The 24641-nt window shown below is 35.6% G+C and overlaps 1 long non-coding RNA gene across 7 annotated transcripts in view; it reads left to right on the top strand.

Annotated features, from left to right (window-relative positions):
* LOC105377253 (uncharacterized) overlaps positions 1 to 24641 on the top strand; it is a 66503-nt gene that overhangs the window by 21313 nt on the left and 20549 nt on the right. For 4 of the 7 annotated variants that reach the window (NR_188411.1, NR_188412.1, NR_188410.1 and 1 more), the window contains exon 1: positions 15772 to 16088. The exons of 2 other annotated variants lie outside the window; for them this stretch is intronic. This is a non-coding gene — a long non-coding RNA (uncharacterized LOC105377253). Of the gene's footprint in view, positions 1 to 14096; positions 14209 to 15771; positions 16089 to 24641 lie in introns of those variants that run through there. One more of the 7 variants, NR_188409.1, reaches the window with a different exon arrangement.

Genomic DNA, 24641 nt, shown 5'->3' with positions numbered 1-24641 from the left:
TGTTTTATGAATCTGGGTTCTGCCTCAGCCTCCTGAGTAGCTGGGATTACAGGTGTGTGCCACTATGCCTTCCCTGTCTGTTTTGATCTATGTTGGTTTAAAGTCTGTTTTATCAGAGACTAGGATTGCAACCCCTGCTTTTATTTTCTTTCCATTTTCTTGGTAAATATTCCCCCATTCCTTTATTTTGAGCCTATGTGTGTCCTTGCAAGTGAGATGGGCCTCTTCAATACAGCACAACGTTTGTTCTTGACTCTTTATCCAATTACCAGTCTGTGTCTTTTAATTGGGGTATTTAGCCCATTTACATTGAGTTTAACATTGTTATGTGTGAATTTGATTCTGTCATCATGATGCTAGCTGGTTATTTTGCACATTAGTTGATGAAGTTTCTTCATAGTGTCATTGATCTTTATATTTTGGTGTGTTTTTGCAGTTGCTGGTACCAGTTTTTCCTTTCCATAATTAGTGCCTCCTTCAGGAGCTCTTGTAAGGCTGCCCTGATGGAGACAAGATCCCTCAGCAGTTGCTTGTCTGTAAAAAAATTTTATTTCTCCTTTGCTTATGAAGTTTACTTTGGCTACACATGAAATTCTGGGTTGAAAATTATTTTATTTAAGAATGCTGAATATCGGCCCCACTCTCTTCTGGTTTGTAGGGTTTCTGCAGAGAGATCCACTGTTAGTCTGATGGGCTTCCCTTTGAGGTGACCTGACCTTTCTCTCTGGCTGCCTTTAACATTTTTTCCTTCATTTCAACCTTGGATAATCTGATGATTTTGTGTCTTGGGGTTGATCTTCTCGAGGAGCATCTTTTTGGTATTCTCTGTATTTCCTGAATTGAATGTTGGCCTGTCTTGCTAGGTTGGGGAAGTTCTCCTGATAATATCCGGAAGTGTGTTTTCCAACTTGGTTCCATTCTCCCCGTCACTTTCAGGTACATCAATCAATTGTAGGTATGGTCTTTTCATATAGTCTCATACTTCTTGGAGGCGTTGTTCAATCCTTTTCATTCTTTTATCTCTAATCTTGTCTCACGCCTTCTTTAAGCAAGTGTGATCTTCAAACTCTGATATCCTTTCTTCCACTTGCTTGATTCGGCTCCTGATACTTGTGTATGCTTCACGAAGTTATCATGCTGTGTTTTTCAGCTCCATCAGGTCATATATGTTCCTCTCTAAACTGGTTATTCTAGTTAGCAATTTCTGTAACATTTTATCAAGGTTCTTAGCTCCCTTGCATTGGGTTAAAACATGCTCCTTTAGCTCAGAGGAGTTTGTCATTTCTGACCTTCTGAAGCCTACTTCTGTCAATTCATCAATCTCATTCTCCATTCAGTTTTGTGCTCTGGCTGGAGAGGAGTTGAAATGATTTGGAGGAGAAGAGGCATTCAGGTTTTTTGAATTTTCAGCATTTTTTCACTTTTTTTTTTTTTTTAATCTTCGTGGATTTATCTACCTTTGATCTTTGAGGCTTATGACCTTTGGATGGGGTTTTTGTGTGGGGTCTTTGTTGTTGATGTTGTTGTTGTTGTTTCTGTTTGTTATTTTTTCTTCTAAAAGTCAAGCCCCTCTTCTGCAGGTCTGCTGCAAGTTGCTGGAGGTTCACTCCAGACCCTGTTTTCCTGGATATCACCAGCGGAGGCTGCAGAACAGCAAAGATTACTGCCTGTTCCTTCCTCTGGAAGCTTCATCCCAGGGGGCACTGGGCTGATGCCAGCCAGAGCTCTCCTGTTTGAGGTGTCTGTTGACCCCTGTTGGGAAATCTCTCTCAGTCAGGAGACACGGGGGTCAGGGAAACACTTGAGGAGGCTGTCTGTGCCTTAGCAGAGCTGGTGTGCTGTACTGGGAGAATCCCTCTTGTCAGGATCAGCTGCCCTCTTCAGAGCTGACATTCAGGAAAAATTAAGTCCACTGAAGCTTGACCTACAGCTGCCCCTTCCCCGAAGTGCTCTGTCTCAGGAAGATGAGGGTTTTATCTGTAAGGCCCTGACTGGGGCTGCTGCATTTCCTTCAGAGATGCTGTGCCCAGTGAGGAGGAATTTAGAGAAGCAGTCTGGCCACAGGTGCTTTGTTCTGCTGTGGTGAATTCCGCCCAGTCCAAATGTCTCAGTCTCCTTAGCACTGTCAGGGGAAAACTGCTTGCTACAACCTCAGTAATGCTGGATGCCCCTCCCCCACTGAGCCCTATCATCCCAGTCTGGAGACTGCTGTGCTGGCAGTGAGAATTTCAAGCCAGTGGTTTTCAGCTTGCTGGGCTCCATGGGAGTGAAACCCACTGAGTGAGACCACTTGGTTCCCTGGTTTCAGCCCCCTTTCCAGGGGAGTGAATGGTTCTGTCTTACTGGGGTTTCAGACACCACTGGGGTATGAAAAAAACTCCTTCAGTTAACTCAGTGCCTGCCTAAACAGCTGCCCAGTTTTGTGCTTGAAACCCAGGACCCTGGTGGTGTAAGCTCACAAGGGAATCTCCTGATCTGTGGATTGCGAAAGCCATGAGAAAAATATAGTACTCTGGCTTGGTAGCACAGTCTCTCATGGCTTCCCTTGGGTGGAGGAAGGAGGTCCCCTGGCTTCTTGCACTTCCTGGGTGTAGCAATGCCCCACTCTGCTTCTGCTCACTCTCCTTGGGTTGCACCCACTGACTAACTAGTCCCAGTGAGATGAACTGGAAATCTCAGTTGAAAATGCAGAAATCACCCACCTTCTGCATTGGGAGCTGCAGACTGGAGCTGTTTCTATTTGACCATCTTGGCCCCTCCCTCCCATAGGGATTCTTATTTCAGGCACTGAAGATCATATATTTATATTGATGAAATAATGTTGCTTTGTCTAAGGTAATGATATTTGATTTCCAAAAATCCAGAAAACTCAACAGCCACCAAATAACAGGGATTCATTATGATATATGGAACATTTTATCACAACTTTTAGAAAGACAGAAAATATGAGTAAAATTGAAGAAAAATACTGCATTAAAGAGAGATACAGTAAATTTAAAATTTTAAGAAAGGTAATACTTAAAATCTTTTTTCAATCAAACTTTTCTTAGTATAGTTTGAAGTTGGGTAATGTGATGCCTCCTGTTTTGTTCATTTTGCTTAGTCTTAGCTATTTGGGCTCTCCTTTGGTTTTATATGAGTTTCAGAATAACGCTTCTAATTCTGTGAGGAATGACATTGGTAGTTTGATAGAAATAGCATTGAATCTGTAAATTGAGTTGAGCACTATGGCCATTTTTATGATATTGATTCTTCCAATCCATAAGCATAAAATATTTTTCCATTTATTTGTGTCATCTTTGATTTCCTTCAGCAGTGTTTTGCAGTTCTCCTTGTAGAGACTGTCCACCTCCTTCATTAGCTATATTCATAGATATTTGATTTTCTTTGTGGCTATTGTAAGTGGAATGTGTTCTTGATTTTACTCTCAGCCTGTATCTTGTTGAGTGTATAAAATGCTGCTGATTTTTGTACATTGATTTTATATCCTAAAATTTTACTAAACTAGTTTATCAGTTTTAGAAGCCTTTTGAAAGATTAAGATATTCTAGGTATAGGGTCTTACTGTCAGTGAACAGAGATAGTTTGACTTATTTTCTTATTTGGATACCTTTTATTTATTTCTTTTGCCTGATTGTTTTTGCTAGGTCTTCTAGTGCTATGTTGAATAGGAGTGGTAAGAGTGAGCTTCCTTGTTTCTTTCCAGTTCTTAAGGCAAATGGTTTCTAGCTTTTGCCCATTCAGTATGATATTGGCTGTGGGTTTGACATAGATGGCTTTATTATTTGAGGTATGTTTTTTGATGCCTAATCTGTTGAGAGGTTTTTATGAAGATGTTGGATTTTACTGAAAGCTTTTACTGCATCTATTGAGATGATCATATGGCTTTCACTTTTGATTCTGTTTATGTGGTGAATTACATTTATTGCTTCACATCCCAGGAATAAAGCCACAGTAAGCAAAACACCTTGGGACTGGTTCCAAAACAGACACATAGACAAATAGAACAAAATGGAGAACCCAGAAACAAAGTTGCACATCTACAGCTATCTGATCTTTGACAAGGCTGATAAAAACAAGAAATGGGGAATGGATTCTCTATTTGATAAATTGTGATGGGATAATCGATTAACCATATGCAGAAGATTGAAGTTGGACACCTGATTTTTACCATGTACAAAAATTAACTCAAAGTGAATCAAAGATTTAAATATAAGTCATCAGACTATAAAAATCCTAGAACACAATCTAAGAAATATTCTTCTCAACATCAGTCATGGCAAATAATTTTTGGCTATGTCTCCAAAAGCAATTTCAATAAAAATAAAAATAGACAAATAGGACCTAATTAAACTACAGAGCTTCTGCTCAGGGAAAGGGAAAACAAAAAACAACAAAAACCAAAAATCTATCAACAGAGCAACCGATGACTACAGAATGGAAGAAGATATTCACAAATTATGCATCTGACAAAGGCAACAAATTAAGCAAAAAACAACCCTATTTAAAATAGGCAAAGGATATGAATAGACACTTCTCAAAAGAAGACATACAAGTGGCCAAAAAACATGAAAAAATGCTCAGTGTCACTAATCATCAGAGAAATGCAAATTAAAACCACAATAAGATACCATGTCACACACCAGAATGGCTGTTATTAAAAAGTCAAAAAACATCAGTTGCTGGCAAGGCTGCAGAGAAAAGGGAATGCTCATACGCTGTTAGTGGGAATGTAAATTAGTCTAGCAGTTGTGGAAAGCAGTCTGGAGATTCCTCAAAGAACTTAAAACAGAGCTACCATTTTACTCAACAGATCTCTTATTGGGTAAATACCCCCTTCAAAAAAGTAAATTATTCTATCAAAAAGACTTATGCACTTGTGTGTTAATTGCTGTGCCATTCGCAATAACAGAGACATGGAATCAACCCAGGTGATCATCAGTGGCAGAGTGGATAAAGAAAATGTGGCATATATACATCATGGAGTACTACACAGCCATAAAAAGAATGAAATCATGTCCTTTGCAGCAACATGGATTGAGCTGGAGACCATAATCTTAAACAAATTAATGCAGAAACAGAAATTTAAATGCCACATGTCCTTATTTAGAAGTGGCAGCTAAACATTGATCACACATGGACATAAATGTGGGAACAACAGACACTTGGAATAACAAAGAGCGGAGGGTGAATGGGTTAAAAAACTACCTATTGGGTACTATGATTACTACCTGGATCATGGGATTGTGTAGACTCCAAACCTCAGCATAATGCTATATTCCAATGTAACAAATCTTCACATGTCCCCCCATATGTGAAATAAGCAGTGAAATCATAAAAAGAAAGAAAGATCTGTGCACAGACAGAATAGGTCATTTTCTAAGCTAACAGATTCAAATAATAAAAATTAATAACAACATACAAAAGGCAATAAATATTTTTGCTGAGATTGTATATTTTATAATTTCTACTGTGAAAGGCCTCACCTTACACAAACAAAAACTATTTTAATTATTCTTTAATCTCTCACTTTTATTGAGGTTCATAACTTGCTGAGGATATTGTATTAATGCATAAATGAGTTTTATGGACAAAGTCACTATCTTGAGAGTTTATGAATTAAGTTGCTGGTATGTTATGGTTGCAGAAGCTGGAAAGTAATTTATTAGAAAACTGTGTTAAATGTATTCCTCCTTGGATTATTTTTATATAGAGACATGCCAAATCCTCTTTCAAATACAAAATATATTGGAGAATGGTGCCAAGAAATACAAAGTCAGAGTATTCCCTTCTATTCCTTCCTGGAAATAAGTGGTGTGTCGGGATTTAGAACCAGATACAGTGTTTTCAAGTGGTAGTTTGACCCTTCACAATTAGTGAAATAATTATACCAAACTTCTCTGTCTTTCTCTGTAGATAGGGATGTTAATAAATATATCATGATAATTATTTCAGTCTAACTTAGTAATATTTAATAGTAAATAATACATTCCTAGAACCTTATTTTTCCTGAATTATAATTAAAGAAATGCTCACTATTACTGATTGAAGCAAATTATGGGGAAAGGTTTTACTTAAACTGAAGTTGGATTTTGTTTTTCTTTAATTTGCATAATTGTATTCCCAGCCCTGACAAGTGTCCTTATTAGGAAGATCAGTTCCAAAATCTGCTTTTGGAATTGCCAAATACTGGTTTTCCCTAAGAGTATTTTTCCCTGGAGATTTACATATGGCTACAACTCATCACTGAAATAGCAGATTTAATGCAATCTCTATAGAGGTGGTAGACAAAACTAGTTGTCCCTGGAGTTTTGTTTCATTTTTCGTATGGGTAGTTAATTAGAACTCATCAGTTGGATGGAGTCAGCTGTTGGTGGTAAAAGGCCTTTGCATGAGGTCAGCATTCTTGGTATACATCATGTTCCCAGGATTCTTGGAGTGCAGTTAGTTCTTAGCCCTTGGTATGCATGTTCCTTATTGTTTTCTCTGGGTCTGTATATATGTCTATCCTAGGGAAGCTAGGTAATCCTTAAACCTTGTTATGATAACCTGTAAATATTTATTGCAGTGTGGCAGTAGAGTGCATTCTTTCTTATGAGGCATCCTCTTCCCTTTGTCTAGCCTGCCATTTTAGGAAAAGCCATTTCTGCTGGAAATGTGCCCAAGATGCATATCTATGAATATTTATGGAATAATGTCCCATCAGTTAACTGCATGTGTTCTACAATTTCTCTTCCTGTTAATTTTCCCCTAACTAATCCTATGTCATATCTGAACAATGTGAAAATAATTTTGTGTTTCTGTGTTCGGCTTGAATTAGAGAGGCTTTACCTCAGTATCTTAGCTAAAGTGATCCCAGACACTCTCATATGTTTATTTTTATCGATATAAATAACTACAATTGAAAATATCTGATGTAGCTGTTTTTATGTTTATAGTGACACAATTCTTGTCTCTTTTGCTTGCTTCCATATCTGGACGACCTTGAACTGTTCCCAGAACACACTAAACCTTGAGCAAAGATCATCCAGATTTTGTATTAACAAAAGAATACATGAGATAAACATGGAAAAGTGCTCTGAAAACCCCAAAGCTCTAAACAATTATCTTGGCATCCCTAAAAAATGACTATTAATATATTTAATATCATGATTTATATCATTAGTTCCTGAGACTATGGATTTAATACCATACTAATCAGAACACTATAATGATGCAATATAAAATGAGCTTTTTTTTCTTAGTCCAATACATTAACAGATACAGTTAGTTATCCTCCAACACCATTTTTCCCTTTGAGATTTAGAACCTCTTGAGTTTTAGCTGGATACAGGGCTGCTTTGCTAAAGACAATTATTTTGTGGCATACTTGGAGATATTTGAGGCTATGTGACCACATGTTTGCCAATGCAATATTAAAGAAAGCTATGCATACTTTTATTTTTTAACTTTAACAAAACTGGGAGCACCCTCATTTTCTTCTTTCACTTTGAAACATGGATTTGGGTGTAGATTTAATGACGATAAATGGGGTAGCTATCTTGTATTTAGATATGAATTATAAAGTCATGTGCTGAGAATGATAGAGTAATAAGATAAAACAAAATTAAGCTTCTAACATTGTAAAGATTCTCTTTCAGAATTGAAATTCTTTTATTCAAATCAGAAAATCAAAGAGGAATAAACATCGATATTTTTAGTCATTTTGTTACAGGTTACACCTATGTTTTAACTAAATGTATATGCACTCATATCACTTTAGCCACCAAAAATGTAGTTATGTCCTATACAAGTGATGTTCAACAAAAATTAATGCAGTGGAAAAAAAGTTTTGTATCTGCATTGTCCAGAATAATATCCACTAGCTTCAAATGACTATACAGCATTTGAAATGTGGCTAGTGCAATTGAAAAAATAAATTTTTATTTTATTTTATTTTACTAACTTAAATCTAAATTTAACTACTTATATATGAATAGTTGATACCATATTGAATAGCTTAGTTCTAAACCTTGCCCTTCTTAAGAAATATGTGCCTTAATAACCTCAATTTCAGAAATGCTATTATTCAGACAACAATTTTAATGTTTCCTGTACCCTTTAAAAATATTAATATCATGAAAGAAACAATATAAGAAGGGAAATTATTTCAAAATTATAAATTATTGATAAACTTTTGATTGGCTCTTGAATTAAAAAACAAAATTGTTATAAGGAATATTAAAAATCACACATTCTTTAAATAATTGGAGAAACTTGAATAGAAAGTCTATATTTGATATTAACATTTTATCACTATTATTTTTTAATTTCTAATTCTTATGGGTACATAGTAAGTGCAAGTAAATTTTTTTTTAAGACAGTCTTACTCTGTTGCCCAGGCTGGAGTGCAGTGGCATGATCTCAACTCATTGCAACCTCCACCTCCTGGGTTCAAGTGATTATCATACCTCAGGCTCCTGAGTAGCTGAGATTACAAGCGCACGCCCGGATAATTTTTTGTATTTTTAGTAAAGACGGGATTTCGCCATGTTGGCCAGGCTGCTCTTGACTCCTGGCCTCAAGTGATCTGCCAGCCTTAGCCTCCCAAAATGCTGGGATTACAGGCCTGAGCCACCAAGCCAGGCCAGGTGTATGTATTTAAAGGACGTATGAGATATATTGACACAAGGATACAATGATTAATAAGCACATCAGGGTAAATGCTGTGTCCATTACCTCAAGCATTTATCATTTCTTTCTTAAAAATATTCCAATTTCACCCTTTTAGTTATTTTTAAATGTACAATCAATTATTATTGACTGTAAGTTACTTCATCATGCTATAAAATACTGGATCTTATTCATTCTACCTGACTATATTTTTGTATCCATTAACTTCCTCATTTCCCCTTACCCTCCCCAATGCTCTTCTCAGTCTCTGGTAACCATCATTCTACTCTCTATTTCCATTAGTTCAATTGTTTTAATGTTTAACTCCCACACATGAGTGAGAATATGCAAACTTTGTCTTTTGGCACCTGGTTTATTTCATTTAATATAATATCAACCATTTCTATCCATATTGTTTCAAATGACAGGATCTCATTTCTTATGGCTGAATAGTACTCCATTGCAAATATATATCACATTTTAATTATCCATTCATCTGTTGATAGACGCTTAGGTTGCTTCTAAATATTGGCTATTGTGAATAGTGCTGCAATAAACATTGGAATGCAAATATCTCTTTGATATACTGATTTCCTTTCTTTGGGGTAGATAGCTAGCAGTGGGCTTGCAGCTCTCTTTGTAATTTTTTTGAGAATAGGGTCTCACTCCATTACCCAGGCTGGAGTGCAGTGGTGCAATCACAGCTCACTGAAGCCTTGACCTCTTGTCTCACCCTCCCAAATAGCTGGGACTAAAGGTGTCTGCCACAATTCTTGACTAATTTTTTTTTTTTTTTTTCAGACGGAGTCTTGCTCTGTCACCTGGGCTGGAGTTCAGTAGCGCGATCTGGGCTCACTGCAAGCTCTGCCTCCTGGATTCACACCATTCTCCTGCCTCAGCCTCCCAAGTAGCTGGGACTACAGGTGCCTACCGCCACGCCTGGCTAATTTTTTGTATTTTTTTTTAATAGAGACAGGGTTTCACCGTGTTAGCCAGGATGATCTTGATCTCCTGACCTCGTGATCTGCTGGCCGACTAATTTTTTGTATTTTTTGTAGAGATAAAGTCTCCCCATGTTGCCCAGGCTGGTCTCCTACTCCTGGACTCTAATGATCCACGTGCCACTGCCTCTCAAAGTTCTGGGGTTAAAGGCAAGAGCCACCACACTTGACCTATTGGACATTTTTTGAAAAGCCTCCAAACTGTTCTTCATAATGGTTGTGCTAATTTACATCTCCTTTAACAGTGTATGAGGGTTCCCTTTTGCTCACATCATCATTTGCATTTATTACTGCCTGTCTTTTGGATAAAAGCCATTTTAACTGGGGTGAGATGATATCTCATTGTAGTTTTGGTTTGCATTTATTTAATGATCAATGATGTTGATCACCATTCAATATAACTGTTTGTCATTTTTATGTCTTCTCTTGAGAAATGTCTGTTTAGATATTTTGCCTATGTAATTGAATTCTTATATTTTTTGAGTTATTTGAGCTCTTTATATATTCTGGTTATTAATCTCTTGTTGGATAGTTGGCAAATATTTCTCATTCTGTGGGTTGTCTCTTTGTTTTTTGTTTGTTTGTTTATTTGTTTTGCTGTGCAGAAGCTTTTAAACCTGATGTGATCCCATTTGTCCATTTTTGCTTTGCTTGCCTGTGCTTCTGAGGTATTACTCAAGAAACTTAAGTTCAGATCAATGTCTTAGGGAGCTTCCCCAAGTTTTCTTCTACTAGTTTCATGTTTTGAGGTCTTAGATTTAAGCCTTTAATTCATTTTGATTGATCTTTGTGTATTTAAACTTTTACCAAACATTTAGCAGTAAAGCCTTCAGGTCCTTGGCTTGTCTTTGCTGGATGACTTTTAATCATGGGTTTGATATCATTACTTGTTATTGGTCTATTTAGGTTTTGGATTTCTTCATGATTCAATATTTCTAGGTTGTACGTGTCTAAGAATGTATCCATTTCTTCTAGGTTTTCCAATTTATTGGTATATAGCTATTTATAGTATTCTCCAGCAATCCTTTGAATTTTAACAGTATCAGTTGTTATGTCTCCTTTTCCATCTCTAATTTTATTTGAATATTTTCTTTTTCCTTTTTTATTTTTTGAGACGGAGTCTCACTGTGTCACCCAGGCTGGAGTGCAGTGGGGTGATTTTATTTTAAACTGATGACAACACTGATTGGAAAAACAAACAAATAAACTAACAGACAAACAAAGATAAGAATAAAAACTCTACATTTTAAGTACATTTCTCTACTTTTTAACTTTTTATTTCTATTTATATCATATTATACTATCTGTCTGGAAAAAATATTGCGGTTATTATTTTTGATAGGTTCATCATTTACTTTTTTCTACTCAAGATATGAACAATTTACATGCCACAATTGTAGTGTAATAACATACTGTTTTTCTGTGTATTTACTATTACCAGAGAGTTTTGTACCTTCAAATGTTTTCTTATTTCTTCTTAGTATCTTTTCTTTTAGAATGAAGAACTTCCTTTATCATTTTCTGTAGGATAGGTCTGGTGTTAATAAAATTCCTCAGGTTTTGTTTTTCTGGAAACATCTTCATTTCTTCATGTTTGAAGGATATTTTCACTGGATAGACTATTCTGGGGTAAAAGTATTTTTTTTTTCTATCAGCACTTTAAACATGTGATGTCACTGTCTCCTAGCCTGCAAGGTTTCCACTAAGTCTTCTGCCTGAAGAATTGGAGCTGCATTGTATGTTATCTGTTCCTTTTCTGTTGCTGCTATTAGGATCCTGTCTTTATTATTGATATTCTGGAGTTTGATTATCAAATCCCTTGAGATAGTCCTTTTTTAATAAAATCTGCTTGGTGTTCTATAACTTTCTTATACTTGAATGTTGATATCTTTCTCCAGGTTTGGAAAACACTGTGCTATTATCCTTTTGGATAAACTTTCTACTCCAAGTTCTCTCTCTAGCTCCTCTTTAAGGCCAATATCTCTTAAATTTGCCCTTAGGGGCTGTTTCCTCAATCTTGTGAGTATGCTTAATTAGTTTTTGCACATTTTCTTTTGTCTTCTCTGACTGTATTTTCAAGTAGCGTGTCATCAATCTCATAATTATTTCTTCTGCTTGATCAATTCTGTGGTTGATTCGGATGCATTCTTCATGTCATTTAAATTTTTTTATCTCAGCATTTTTGCTCAATTGTTTTAACTTATTGCAATCGCTTTGTTAAATATGATAAGATTCTGAATTCTTTCTCTGTGTTATATTGAATTTTGTTGAGTTACCTCACAGCAACTATTTTAAATTCTCTGTCTAAAGAGATGATTTTCCTGTCCCTCCAGGATTGGTAGCTGGTGCCTTATATAATTTGTTTAGTGAGGTCATGTTTTCCTAGATGGTAATGATGCTTCCTAGGTAGTACTGATGTTTATCAATGTCTGGGCATTGAAGAGTTCAGTATTTATTGTAGCCTTCACAGTCTAGGCTTGTTTTTATTGGTCCTTCTTGGGAAGTCTTTCCAGTTATTCAAAGAGAATTGAGTGTTGTGATCTAAGTCTTTGGTCATTGTACCCATATGTACATTAGGGTGCACCCAAAGCCCATGATTGCTGTGACTTTATAAGATTTGTAAGTTTATAACTTTATAAGATGGTGATCTAGGGTAAGACTCAAAATAATTCCCTAGATTACCAGGCAAAGACTCCTGCTTTCTTCCCTTACTCCCCTCCAAACAAATGGAGTCTCTCTCTCTGTGCTGAGCAGCCTGGTTGTGGGAAGGGTTAAAACAATCAGTCTTCACTGTGGCCACCACCACTGGGACTGTGCTGGTTCATATGCAAAGCCAAGACCGTACTGCAACTTGCCCAATACCTGCAGTATCACTGCCTGGCTACTACCAATGTTCACTCAAGGCCCAAGGACTCTTCACTAAGCAGGTTGCAAATCATACTAGGCTTTTGTCCTTCCCTTAAGGGCAGTGAACTCTCCCTCTCAGCCCAGGGTGAGTTCAGAAATGCTGCCCAGGAGCCAGGGTCTGGAATCAGGAATCTTAGTAATCTACATGGTGCTCTATTCTACTGTGTCTGAGTCAGCACCCAAGCTGCAAAACAAAGACCTCGCTCTTTCCTCTCCTTTCTTCAAGCAGACAGAAGCTCTCGCCAAGGCCAACACAGCTAAGAATGAGCTGGGTATGACCTGAAGCCAGAACAGCCCTGGGTCCTACCCGATGCTGGTGGCTAATACTGTCTGGGTAACACAAATATTATTCATGGCCTGAGGGCCCCTTAGTTAGTAGGTGATGAATCTTGCAAGGACGTGGTTCTTCCCTTTAAAGCAGCAAGTTCCCTTCTGACCCAGAGTGTGTCCAGCAATATTGTCCAGGAGCTAAGGCCTTGCATGTAGTGCTCAGGACATTGCTGGTAGTCTATCCTACTGTGGCTGAGCTTGTATCTAAGTTGCAAAGTCCTCTTTACTCTTCCCTCTCTTATCCTCCAGCAGAAGGAAGGAGTCTGTCCTGGAGCTGTGAGCTACACTGCCTTGGGTTGGGGGAGGGGTGACACAAACACTTTTTTGGCTGCCCCACTGGTATCTCATAGGTAATATATACCCCAAATCTACTGGCTCTGAATCCAGCACAGCACCCGGACTTCCCTAGAAATTGTAGTCCTCACAGCCACCATTCAAATTCATTTAGGACCCCAGAATACTTTAGCCTGTGGTGGTGGGGCTAGCTAGAACTCAGGTTTCAACCACTAGGATGGAAACTTTCCCTCCTGCTAGGGCTGGTCTAAATGTTGTCCCTATGGGCTCTGGCTGAATTCTGTTCTGCATTTCATTCTGCGGTGACAGGGCAACATTAAGCACTAGTTCCAATGCAAAATCCCACCATTACTGAGATTTCTACCCATCAAGCACACAGATTCTGTCTCTGAGTCACTCGTTTTTGCTGGGAGATGGGAGAGCTGTCTTATCTGCAATTCAAGACTGTCCTTTCTACGCTCTTCAGTTTCTCTTTCCTTGATATGACGTTAAAACCAGATACTGTGATTGCTCACCTGATTTTAGGCTCTTATGAAGGTGCTTCCTTGTATGGATGGCTATTCAATGTGGTGTTCAGGGGGTCACAGGGAGAAGGTGGGTCATTTTGTTCTGCCCTTTAAGGCTCTATTAAATTTCTTAAGTGTGATAATCTGATTGAGATTAGGTAGAAGCACATACTTTTTCTTAGTATATAAAAAAAATGTAAGGCCAATAGTCAAAGGACTGACATTTTTAATGTGCTCGGAGAAGACAAACTATATGTAGAGTTTTATGTGTAACAAAAGATAGTATTCTTCAGACACAAAGATAATTATTTTCTACCCTAGGATCTGGAGAGAAGGAGTAGCTTCTCTCCAATCCTTAGAAGAAATCCACAGTTAATTGTTGACATTTCTTTCAAATTTTTCATAGATTTGAAAAACCTATGGAAAGAGAGAAAACAACTGGCCCAAAATCTAAGGATAGAAAGTATCTCCAGGGAGAAAGGAGATTTGCACCCATGATCATCTGAAGGTAGATACAGGTAAAAAGTGATACTAGTAAAAAAAAATTCATTTAAGACCGGTAACAAATTGGAAAAGGCTGTGTTTGGGCTTATAAGACAGTGGGAAAATCCTTGAAGGTCCAGAAAGAGGGGAGTCTGCACTCCCCCCTTATAGGCCCATTGCCATGGACTCAGCAGGTAGACAGAGAAGAGTTCTCAAAAAGTGAACACAGCTGCAGTGTGGGCAATGAACTCTGTATTAGTTCTGTTCAACAGAAATTTCTGCAGTGAAGAAATTTTTTTCTCTCTCCATTATGGAATAAAAGCCTTAATTGGTGACAAAATGGAACACTGCTGACCTTAAGATATTGATGAATACTTATTACAGTTGGGAGAAGGGAAGAAGAGGGAGAGTGAGCACAATTCAGGAAGGAATTGTGAGTTTAAGTGCTGACCCCAAGTAGGACAGGCAGGGGAGAGACAGGAAAAGGAAGTCTCCACTGTCTAGACTATAGAAGTGGTGATACCATGGGAAGGATAACTTTATTACAACCACAAAGATTCAAACCAAGCCACATACAGGGGCCCCATTAAGCCCCTCAGCCAAAGTAATGAATTTCAAATAACAAGTGCTAAGAGAGGGACAGGAGAGCAATAAGAACTTGCAAAGGTACACATTCTGAGACACAACACAAAGATAAACATAAATATATTTCATAAATATGTTTTTTAAATCATGCTCTGGTAAACCACCTTTCACCCTAGACACAAGCTGTTTCTACAGGATGTGAAAGCCAAGGAGCACTAAAAATAGGTATAGACTTAACAGCAAATCACAAACTAATTCACATGCTAAGTTGATTAGTACAAATGTCTGTATAAAAATCCTAGCAGAAGGAAAGGTGTGACCATTTTCAGTCATAAAAAATGTGTACCTCAGATGCTACTGCCTACATAAATTGCACACATTGCAATGGATGATTTCCTGATGATCAGCAATGTTAACAGACCATTAATATCAGAAAAGAGCACATATACTAAATATAAAATAAGACATACAACAAAGAAGATATATTTTGAAGGTTTTAATTTTTGTGGTCTAGAAAATAGTAATGTCTTTGGGAGTAAAAATGAATAATCCAGTCATTGATACAAATTTAAGGGAGGAAAATACCTTATTTCCATATGTTGAAATTGAGGCTGGATACCTATGTGTGAGTGGCTTTTAAAGAGATGGGAATAAAAGACTAAGTTTAGATGACAAGGCTTTTGTGTGTAAAACTATGAATTCTGAAAGTCTAGGTATTTGATTTGGTTTCATCCTATTTCATTCTTTTTCAATCTTAGCACATCAAAACTGCAGATGTTTTAATTTACACAAATATAACCTCCAAAAATTGCCCTGAGTTTGGAAAAAATCTGAGAGTTTTTTTTATTAATTCCATATGCTTTGGGTTGCATACACTATGTGCCTCTTTCAACTTGTGGGTGATGAAATGCATCATACAAAGTTCTTCCCTGCTGGGGGAAGGAGAGAGGGGGTTGGGCTTCCTTCACTGCTGTCTTTCAGAGGTATCTCTAAGGAAGTGGTAATGCAACTGCAGTCTTTTGTGAGAGGCAGGGCTTGTAGGCATATTTCAGTGGGTCCACTTATTAAAGAAGCCTACATTTTTCTCCATATATTCTAAGAAACACCTGTTTCATCATAGGTCTGAGCAGACAGACAGAAGCCAGCACAACTGCAGGAGAAATGAAATGAGGTTCTAAGCCACCTTACAGCTTATATTGGCCCCACCAGTCTTTTTGTTCATTGGTTACGTGAGTCAAATTTATATCCCTAAATCCGGAATATGCTGCCTCCAGAATCCAAAGAAGCCTGAGAAGCATGGTGATTCCTTCTTAGTGGTGGAAAGAATGAGGTACAACCATTTGTCTTTTACACTTTTGGGCCTATCTGTGTAACCTCAGATTACCAGGACTGCTAACATTCTCATGATGTGATAGATTCCTGAAACTTGATAGGAATTATTTTCTAATTTTGCACAGCATTTGCATTACCAAGACCTCTAAATTATAGTCATTTTTAAAATTATCTGATCTGATTAACACGAAAACAGAGATATCATACAAAAAAGTGATGTTCCACAGAGTTCCCAAATGACATTTTGTTTTATAATATACTGTAACAGAAGCCAGTGGCAAGTTAATATAGCACTGAAATGAGATATAAATATTCATGGCTGTTCACAGTGTCCATTGTGAACTGTTTTTAATTTATTTCCTTGATAGAGGTCGTTAATAATGAATTTTTCAGGGTAATAAATGCATTATGTGTACTTGAGGCTGTAGTTACATGCTTTAGCAAAGAGAGCACATCTGGTACAGCAGCTGCAATTTGGGAACAAATGAATTGTATTTGTGATAATCTACTGTCATACCCAATGATCTCTCAGGTTTTTCATAAAAAACAGACTGGTGAGTTAAGTGTGATATAATAGTATCTCACCATCCCTGTATCCTTTAGGTTGTTAAGAATGGTACAAATCTTTGCTATTCTCCTCGGAAAACAAGAACAATTTTGATTTTCTGCCTTCGTTATGGAGAAGGAGGCACCTTCAAAGCCATTTTCTTGCCATTTCTACAGGAGATATTTCGAAGCTATAGATAAAGGAGGCACTGTGGCAAATATGTTCATTTGTGTGTGTGTGTGTGTTTGTAGTGAAACGTTCAAATTCCTACTTGATTTCCTGTTGTATATGTTACTTACCTATTTTCTTTGTGGTTACAACAGGAATTATATTTAGCATACTGAAGTTAATACACTCATTTAAATTTTTCAAATTTAATTCCAATACTTCCTTTAGTTGCTGATGTCATAAAATTACGTCTTCATACATTGTGTGTCCAAAAATATAAACTAATGATTATTTTAAAGACATTAGTTTCTTAATTTACATAAAAGACAAAATGTGGTGTTACAACAAACCATAGCTACAATAATACTAGCTCTCAGATTGTTTTAAACATGTATTAGTCTCTCAAATTATATAGAAAACAGAAAGTAGAGTTACAAACTATTGTTTCAATAATACTAATCTTTATAATAGCCTGTGTATTTACTTACCTATATTCAAATCTTTATTTATTCACAAAGATTCAAATTACTTTCTGGTGCTATTTATTTTACCATGCATGACTCCCTGGAACATTTATTGAAAGACAGGACTACTGGTAGCATGCTTCCTCTGTTTTCGATTATTCAGAATGTCTTAATCTCTACCTCACTTTTGAGAGAAAGTTTTGTTGAAGATAAGATTTTTGGTTAACAGATTTGTTTAGACCTTTTTTATATGTTAGCTCCCTGCCTTCTGGTCTCTTAAGTTTCTGATCAGAAATCTGTTCATCTTATTGAGGGTCACTTTGATGTAATGATTTGCTTCTCTCTTGCTGCTTTCAAAATTCCCTTTGTTTTTTGAAAGTTTGCTTATAATGTGTCTGGGTGTGGTTTCCTTTGAAGTCATCCTACCTGCGGTTCTTTAAGATTCTTCAGTGTTTATATTCCTGTCTTTTATGAAATTTGGAAGTTTTCAGCCATTAATTATTCAAATTTTTTCTTTGTCCTTGTCTCTGTGTCTTCTCCTTCCAAGAATTCCAGAGTGTGTATTTTGGACCACTCGATTGTGTTCCACAACTTTGTTTAATTTTCTTCAATTTTTTTTCTTCTGCTCATCAGATTAATTATTTCTATTGTTTTATCTTTAAGAATGCTGATTTTTTTTTCTTCTGATTCTTAAATCTGCCATTGAATCCCTTTAGTGATTTCTTAAAATTGTATTTGTACCTTTTATCTTTACAGTTTCTTTTTAATTTTATTGATGTTTATTTTTTGATTGAACAATATTTTCTTAACTTTCTTTAATTATTTGAACATCTTTAAATAGTTATTTTAAATCTTTGTTTAGTAGATCTGCCATCAGGTGTTTTAAAGGGACAGACTTGTTGGTTTATTATTTTTTTTGTTGAATGGGTCATACTTTCCTGCTTATTTGTATGCCTTGTAATTTTGTTGTTGTTGAAAACTATACTTTAATCTAATAATGTGGTAACTTTGGAAATCTAATTCTCCCCATTTCTCAGGATTTGCTATACTCTCTTTGCCCCTGCTGGTGCATGTTGAATGTTTTGTGGCTCTTTCAAAGTTTTGACCTTTTTTAATCATAGAAGATATCAAACTTTCCTGGCTGTATTACATCTTGAAACAGCTCTAGTTTTTAATCTGTTGACCAAGAAAATAAAACAAGTGCCTTTTAAGGTAAATATGTGTTGTTTTGCAAGGTAGAGGTGTCCATATTTTTCTTAGGCAAGGTACTAGCACTATCTTTATCGGGGAGAAATTGACTGATTCAATGGGGTAAAATGATTCAAAGGAATATGTTTGAGTTAATATTTTCATCTGCATTGATCCAGTTATACCGTCTCCAATCTTAGGCTTTCATCTTTTTAACAGGGGCTTGATCAGACATACATGATGGCCTAATTGAGAATAAAACAACACCTTTATAACTGCTTGTCTTATAATTTCTTTCTTTGCCTTCTCCTCATCTATTTCTGCTTTCTGGTGCAGGATACTGGAGTCTCTCTGTATGTGGCCAGAGATATCTTCTGGCTTTCAAACTTAACTTTTAATGGATGACTAATTTTCCTAAGTGTTTCTCTTTCCTGCAAAGCATGGATTTCCCAAGATTTAAGTGTCATATAATTATTATATCTCACTATTTCTCAAGTACATAATATATTTTATACTCAAGATAATTCTCTTGCACTGATAAACTATTGCAGGTCACCATTAATGAAAATTTTAACAAACATATTACTGTTGCATGCTCCACCTATCACAACTCATGAGGACCACATTGCCAGTGAGGCATTGGGTAAACAAGCTACAAAATCACATGTAAAAGTCCACTTTCTAACTACTTTATCCTGACTAAACTTTGGACCAGAAATCATAGGTCTGGTTTCTCTTGAAGCAGCCTCTGGGGTGAAAATTGATATTCAAATAATTGTAAAAGTTAAAGACCAAAAACTTTCAGGAAGTATAGTAAGTGAAGTCAAGCAGAGCAAGAGCTTGAACTACAAGGCAGTTGCCTAAAAGTTCTCAGTTCACCTGATGAGAAAATATGGAGATGGGTTAGAGTTTTAGCCACGTCTGTAATTGGGATGAAGAGCCAGGCTATTTACATGCCCATCAAGAAATCACTGAACTCTTTCACACGGAGACATAAACTTAGGTGAAGTAGCCTCTTCAATCCAGTAAATTTCCCAGCAAGGAACTCCGCTAACAGCTGTCAATATTGCCAATATCGCACCAGCATCTGGGCAAATGAGTGCCTCAGCCCTGGAGGCATGGGATCTGGGTACCTCACCTTGTATTTACTAAACAGTGTGTAGTTGTTCTTACTTTTTATTGTTGCAGAATTTCTTGATAATTATGATGAAAAGTAAAGATTTATTAAGACAGGAAACACAAGGGTTTTGGGGGACATTTAATCTAACACATGTATCATTCAAATATTTGCAAAAAAGTGATGAAATTTGATGGTGAATATATGATAATTGAAAGGATAATTGATCTTGTAGGGTTTAATTGCAAGGTCAGATATAGTATAGAGGTTTGTGTTTTATTATATTATTTCCCTATGATGTTTTTACGTCAGTAATTTATATAACATAAGTCAGCATAGAGTACACACACACACACAGACACAAACACTTTTAATGATTTATCTAACAATTAGCATCAGTCACAACTTGTTACAATTAACTATTTGCCCTTCTTAAACTGCATTATCCATTGTTTTAGTCACTCCCTGGAAAATATAATTCTTTAAGCCCTAGCATTCACTTTTCTCCTGTTCACCTGGATAAATTCAACTATTGACCTTTATTTTGCATGCAATTAAGCATTTGAACACTATTGAGTAAAGTAAAATGAGAAAAGATTGGTTTTACTTACATCTTATTATCATAAACTTAAATACTAATTATTATTGCCATGGAATTCTCATATTTAGCTCTTTTTCCTCTCAGGAATAATTTTTTTCATCTGATCTTTCTTCAGATATCTCTAATCTATTAAGAAAATAGAAGCTATCAGGTATTACACCCAATATTTCTACCACTAAGTATATCACATCTGCTTCTTCACTTTTCTTAAAGTATGAGCATCTGCCTGTTTTGAGATCCACCAACTAAATTAGCATTCCAGTATGAGAGTACCAAGCCCTAATGGAAAATAAAGGGGAGCTGAATGTGACTTTTTACAGTATACCTTTTATGGGATATTTCTTTCAACTAGTGGATGTCTTAATGCCTAGTTGCCCATGACCAGGACATCCCTCACATGAAAAGTTTATTTATCCTGGCAGACACTTTTGCCTGACTCGTGTCCAGTTTATGCCTGCCTGACTATTTCTCTGGAGCTAAGAGTCTGACCTTGTGTTTTCCCCAGCATCCTGGGGAAAAACTGGCCTGGAGCAACCCCTAGTATTTTGATAGAAGGTACAAATTTAATACATTATCACATTTTCTTTTTAAACTTACAGATCCTGGGCAGGGAAGTTGCAATGAGTGGGGAAGACAGCTCTCCATTCTCAAGTAATGCAAGGCAGAAATGAAGAATCAGGCAGCAAGAGAGGGAACATGGCAACTTGCAGTATATATAAAAAAATAGGGTGTGGTCACTTCAAGTTCAAGGACAAATGGGTGAATGATCCCTTTAAAGGAAGCACAGGAAAGGGAGGAGCTCAGTCTACTAGGTGGAAATGCCTCTAAGTCCTTATCTCTGGCCATTTTCTCGAGCTCTTTGGATGTGGTATAGAACTGAAAACTGTCAAAGGTGACTGAGCCCTGCTTCTAGTATGAGAAAGTTAAATCTATATTCAAAATGGATGCCAAGACACATAAAATTATACAAATTTACTACACTGACTTCCCGTAACAGGGCATTTCTTGAATATTTGCTTTCAATTCCAACACTTTTCATCTGTTCAAATATATTTTCCCTTGTGATACTGCCTTTCTGTTCTATATTATTAACTTTAACTTTCCTATTAGATCCTTTCTACTAGAATAAAAATTCTTTATAGATTTTTACTGTCATTAGTAATGAATGAGGATAGAGAGAGTGGGCAGAGAGGAAAAGAAATAAAAATATCACTTTAATTTCATAGGACTTTTTTTTTTAATTTTACCAGTTTTTTTCTTTCTTTACCTGCTCCTTACACTTCAACCAGCCTGATCTAGTTTCCGCCTCCATGCCTGCAATAAAATTGTTCTTGCTAAGGTTAACAACTACTTTCACATTAGCAAAATTGGTATCTCTCTCTTTACTTCTTTAAAGTCTTGGCAGCATTTATGAAAGTTGAGTGTGTGTATATATATATATATATATATATGTATTTGAAACAATCTATTATCATTCTTTGAAAATTGTAAATTAGTATTTAAGTAGATAGTTCAAGTACAAACTATTTAGTTTGAAGCATTGTATAGTTGGTTGCATGCTTTGTTAGTAAAGAGTTGTTGAGATTCAATCATGGAAAGGATTAGGTTAAGAAACGAAGAGGTAAACATAGTGGAGGCAAATCTGTGTTTTTTACTATCTTAATATTCTAGACAAAATGAAGTATCTTAGACATATTAACGGAAATGGTATGGCCCACGGATGTATCTTTACTATGTGAGGTCTCTGGGAAGGAATGATCTTGTAGGCTGACTACATAATAACCTGAAAAGTTGCTGATTATATGAATAATTGACAGCCATGTTTAGTTTTTCTAAGTATCCTTTGATTCTCATGTGGTAAGAACAAAATCAAGAATTTTGTACACTACCCAAATTAGTGCCACAAAGCACTTTACCTGAAAAACAATTGATATTACATGGGGCTGGGCTTGATGAAGGCTAGGATGTATATTTTAGATTGGGAGACAGATGGAGGACATATTCAAGAATTAATGCCCTACTAAAAGAAAAAACAAGCTGGGGACTTGGTATTCAAAAATAATTACTATGACCTGAATATCTGTAAGACCTCCAAAAATTTAAGATATTAAGCAAAATAATGGTGATTTTTAAGTATTTTTGCTTTTCCTATCCTTAAGAAGTTATAGTGTTAACGTTATACTAGTCTTAAATGTTAATCAACATTTAATCAACTTATCAACATTTATTTGTCTCTTCATTACAAGGGTTATTTTTTAAAAGATGATTTGCTTTTTTCTTTAATCTTCTTAATGCCTATATGAAAGTTCTTATTCAGTATTGTGATATTTGTCTCATAAATTTTGCCTTTTCCATTTTGTTATCAGTAATACTTAAACTTTGTTAATAGTGGTATTTTTGGTGTAGCAGCTTTTTTTTAAATGTAATGTTTTCTACATGCCCAGTCATTTACTTTCCATTTCACCGTTTATTTGTTTGTGTTGTTTTACAAGCAACTTTGCTCACAGAGGTACCAGTAATAAACATATACTTCAATATGTTTTATAATATTGGGACTTTTTAATGTCTTTAAAAAATCTAAACGAAGGTGTTTTTTGCATGTTTGTGTTGGTGTGGGAGCTGGATTCTGGATAAATAATGAACCTTCCAAGTTTTAAAATGTTCACTATTTCTAATCCATAAATGACTCTTCAATTACAATTTTTTATAAGATATGGTAATATATTTTATTACTCAATTCATTATTCAATTAGATCCAGTTTTACTACTGTAAATTTAATTAACTTCGTTAAATTACAGACTTTTCTTATGTGTTTAACTCAGAGGAACACTTCTAATCTGAACTTTATTTGGCAGTTATTATGCAAAATAGCTTATGATAGCATTTTGTAAATTGTATCTACATTCAGTACTGTTCCATTGATAATGCTCAGATATGAAGATTGATTAAAATTCTCAGAGACATTTTTGGTTGTGTTGCTACTATGTATTTATATCTTATATTTAAACATACATATATGTATTGAGTGAAAAACTGTCATATACCTTAGCCATGTATCAGTCAGCATTTTATCAGAGAAATGGAAGCAACATAAATTATAAAATAAGTGATTCACTGATGTAGATATTGACATAAAATAAGTTTTTTATTGTAAAGTTTAGACCTTATGCAACTGCAGAAGCTAATGCAGAAATATATGTAAGGCTGTTCTATTAGCAAATGGTAGTAGACCAATGTCTGTTTCATTGACAGTAATATTTAAGCTTTGTTTATAGTGGAATTTTTTCTATAGTGAGCAGCAGTCAGGAAGGAAAGCTAAACATGAAGTGGGGTAGAGCTAGGATGAAGTAGACTATATACTTGAAATTAATAAGCTGTCTGACTTCAGTCAGGAACTGGGATGAAGTGTCATTTATTTGCTTATTGATTTTACTTTGGGTTTACTTGTCTTTCAAGTCTATTATTTTGAAATTATATAATCTTAAACCTTGTTATCCAATATGAAAATAAAGCATACTTTATTAAATTGTAAGTAAATCACATGTAGATTTTGTTTTTGGAGTACTTCAGGCAAGAGTAAACATGAAAATAAAACAAATTAAAATTGATATACTTGTTATCTTAAATTAGGTAATATTGCTTTTTTTGAAAAAATAAAGTGCACCAGTTAAAATGAAAGATGGGTGGGTAACACTCAAAATAATCAATAGTGAAAATTGTTTCTTAATTTGCCTAATTTAATGGTAGCTATAGAACATAGTAAAGTATAATTGCAGTTATTTTACAAAGAGTTGAAAGAAAAATATGACCCATTTCAAAAAACAAATTAGTGAAAATAAAGTAAAAACACAGCATGACACTTATCTTCTTAGCTTGACTAATTTTTTCATCTATAATGAAATCTTTGACCTCACTTTCCAACTGTTTATTTTCTCTTTTAATTTTAGTGAGAAAGTAAAATAAGAACTTTATACAACACATTGCTAAACTGGAAACCAGTAACATTTATTGACTAGATTATAATTAAGATATTATAGAGAGTATCACTTGAAGATACATTGTTATGATCAGTTTCTCTTTTGAATCATACCATAGAGACTTAGAAATTATATTGGCACTAATTTTTCTTTTATAATTTTCACTTACAAATGAGATGCTTAGAGTCTGATAAAAGTTGCAGAAAATTGCTACCATTAGATTACTAGAGAGATGTGAGACATAAGATATTAGAACATATGCTGCAATACAGAGGCTCACAAACAGGAGACAGTAACTGACAGGAATAACTAACAGGAGACAATAATGGCAATATATGACAACAATGAACAGCATACTTGACTTTTAAGCATTTATTTGACAAGAATGTACTGAGTTCTTACTGTGAACCATGCTATGTGAAAGACATCATTTATGTTTTCAAAGAAACTTTGTTCTAGAATAAAATTTAAAAGGTAAACAATTATAA

This window comes from Homo sapiens, chromosome 4, assembly GCF_000001405.40.
Source record: "Homo sapiens chromosome 4, GRCh38.p14 Primary Assembly".
NCBI lineage: Eukaryota > Metazoa > Chordata > Mammalia > Primates > Hominidae > Homo > Homo sapiens.
This window is presented reverse-complemented; position numbering and strand designations above follow the sequence as displayed.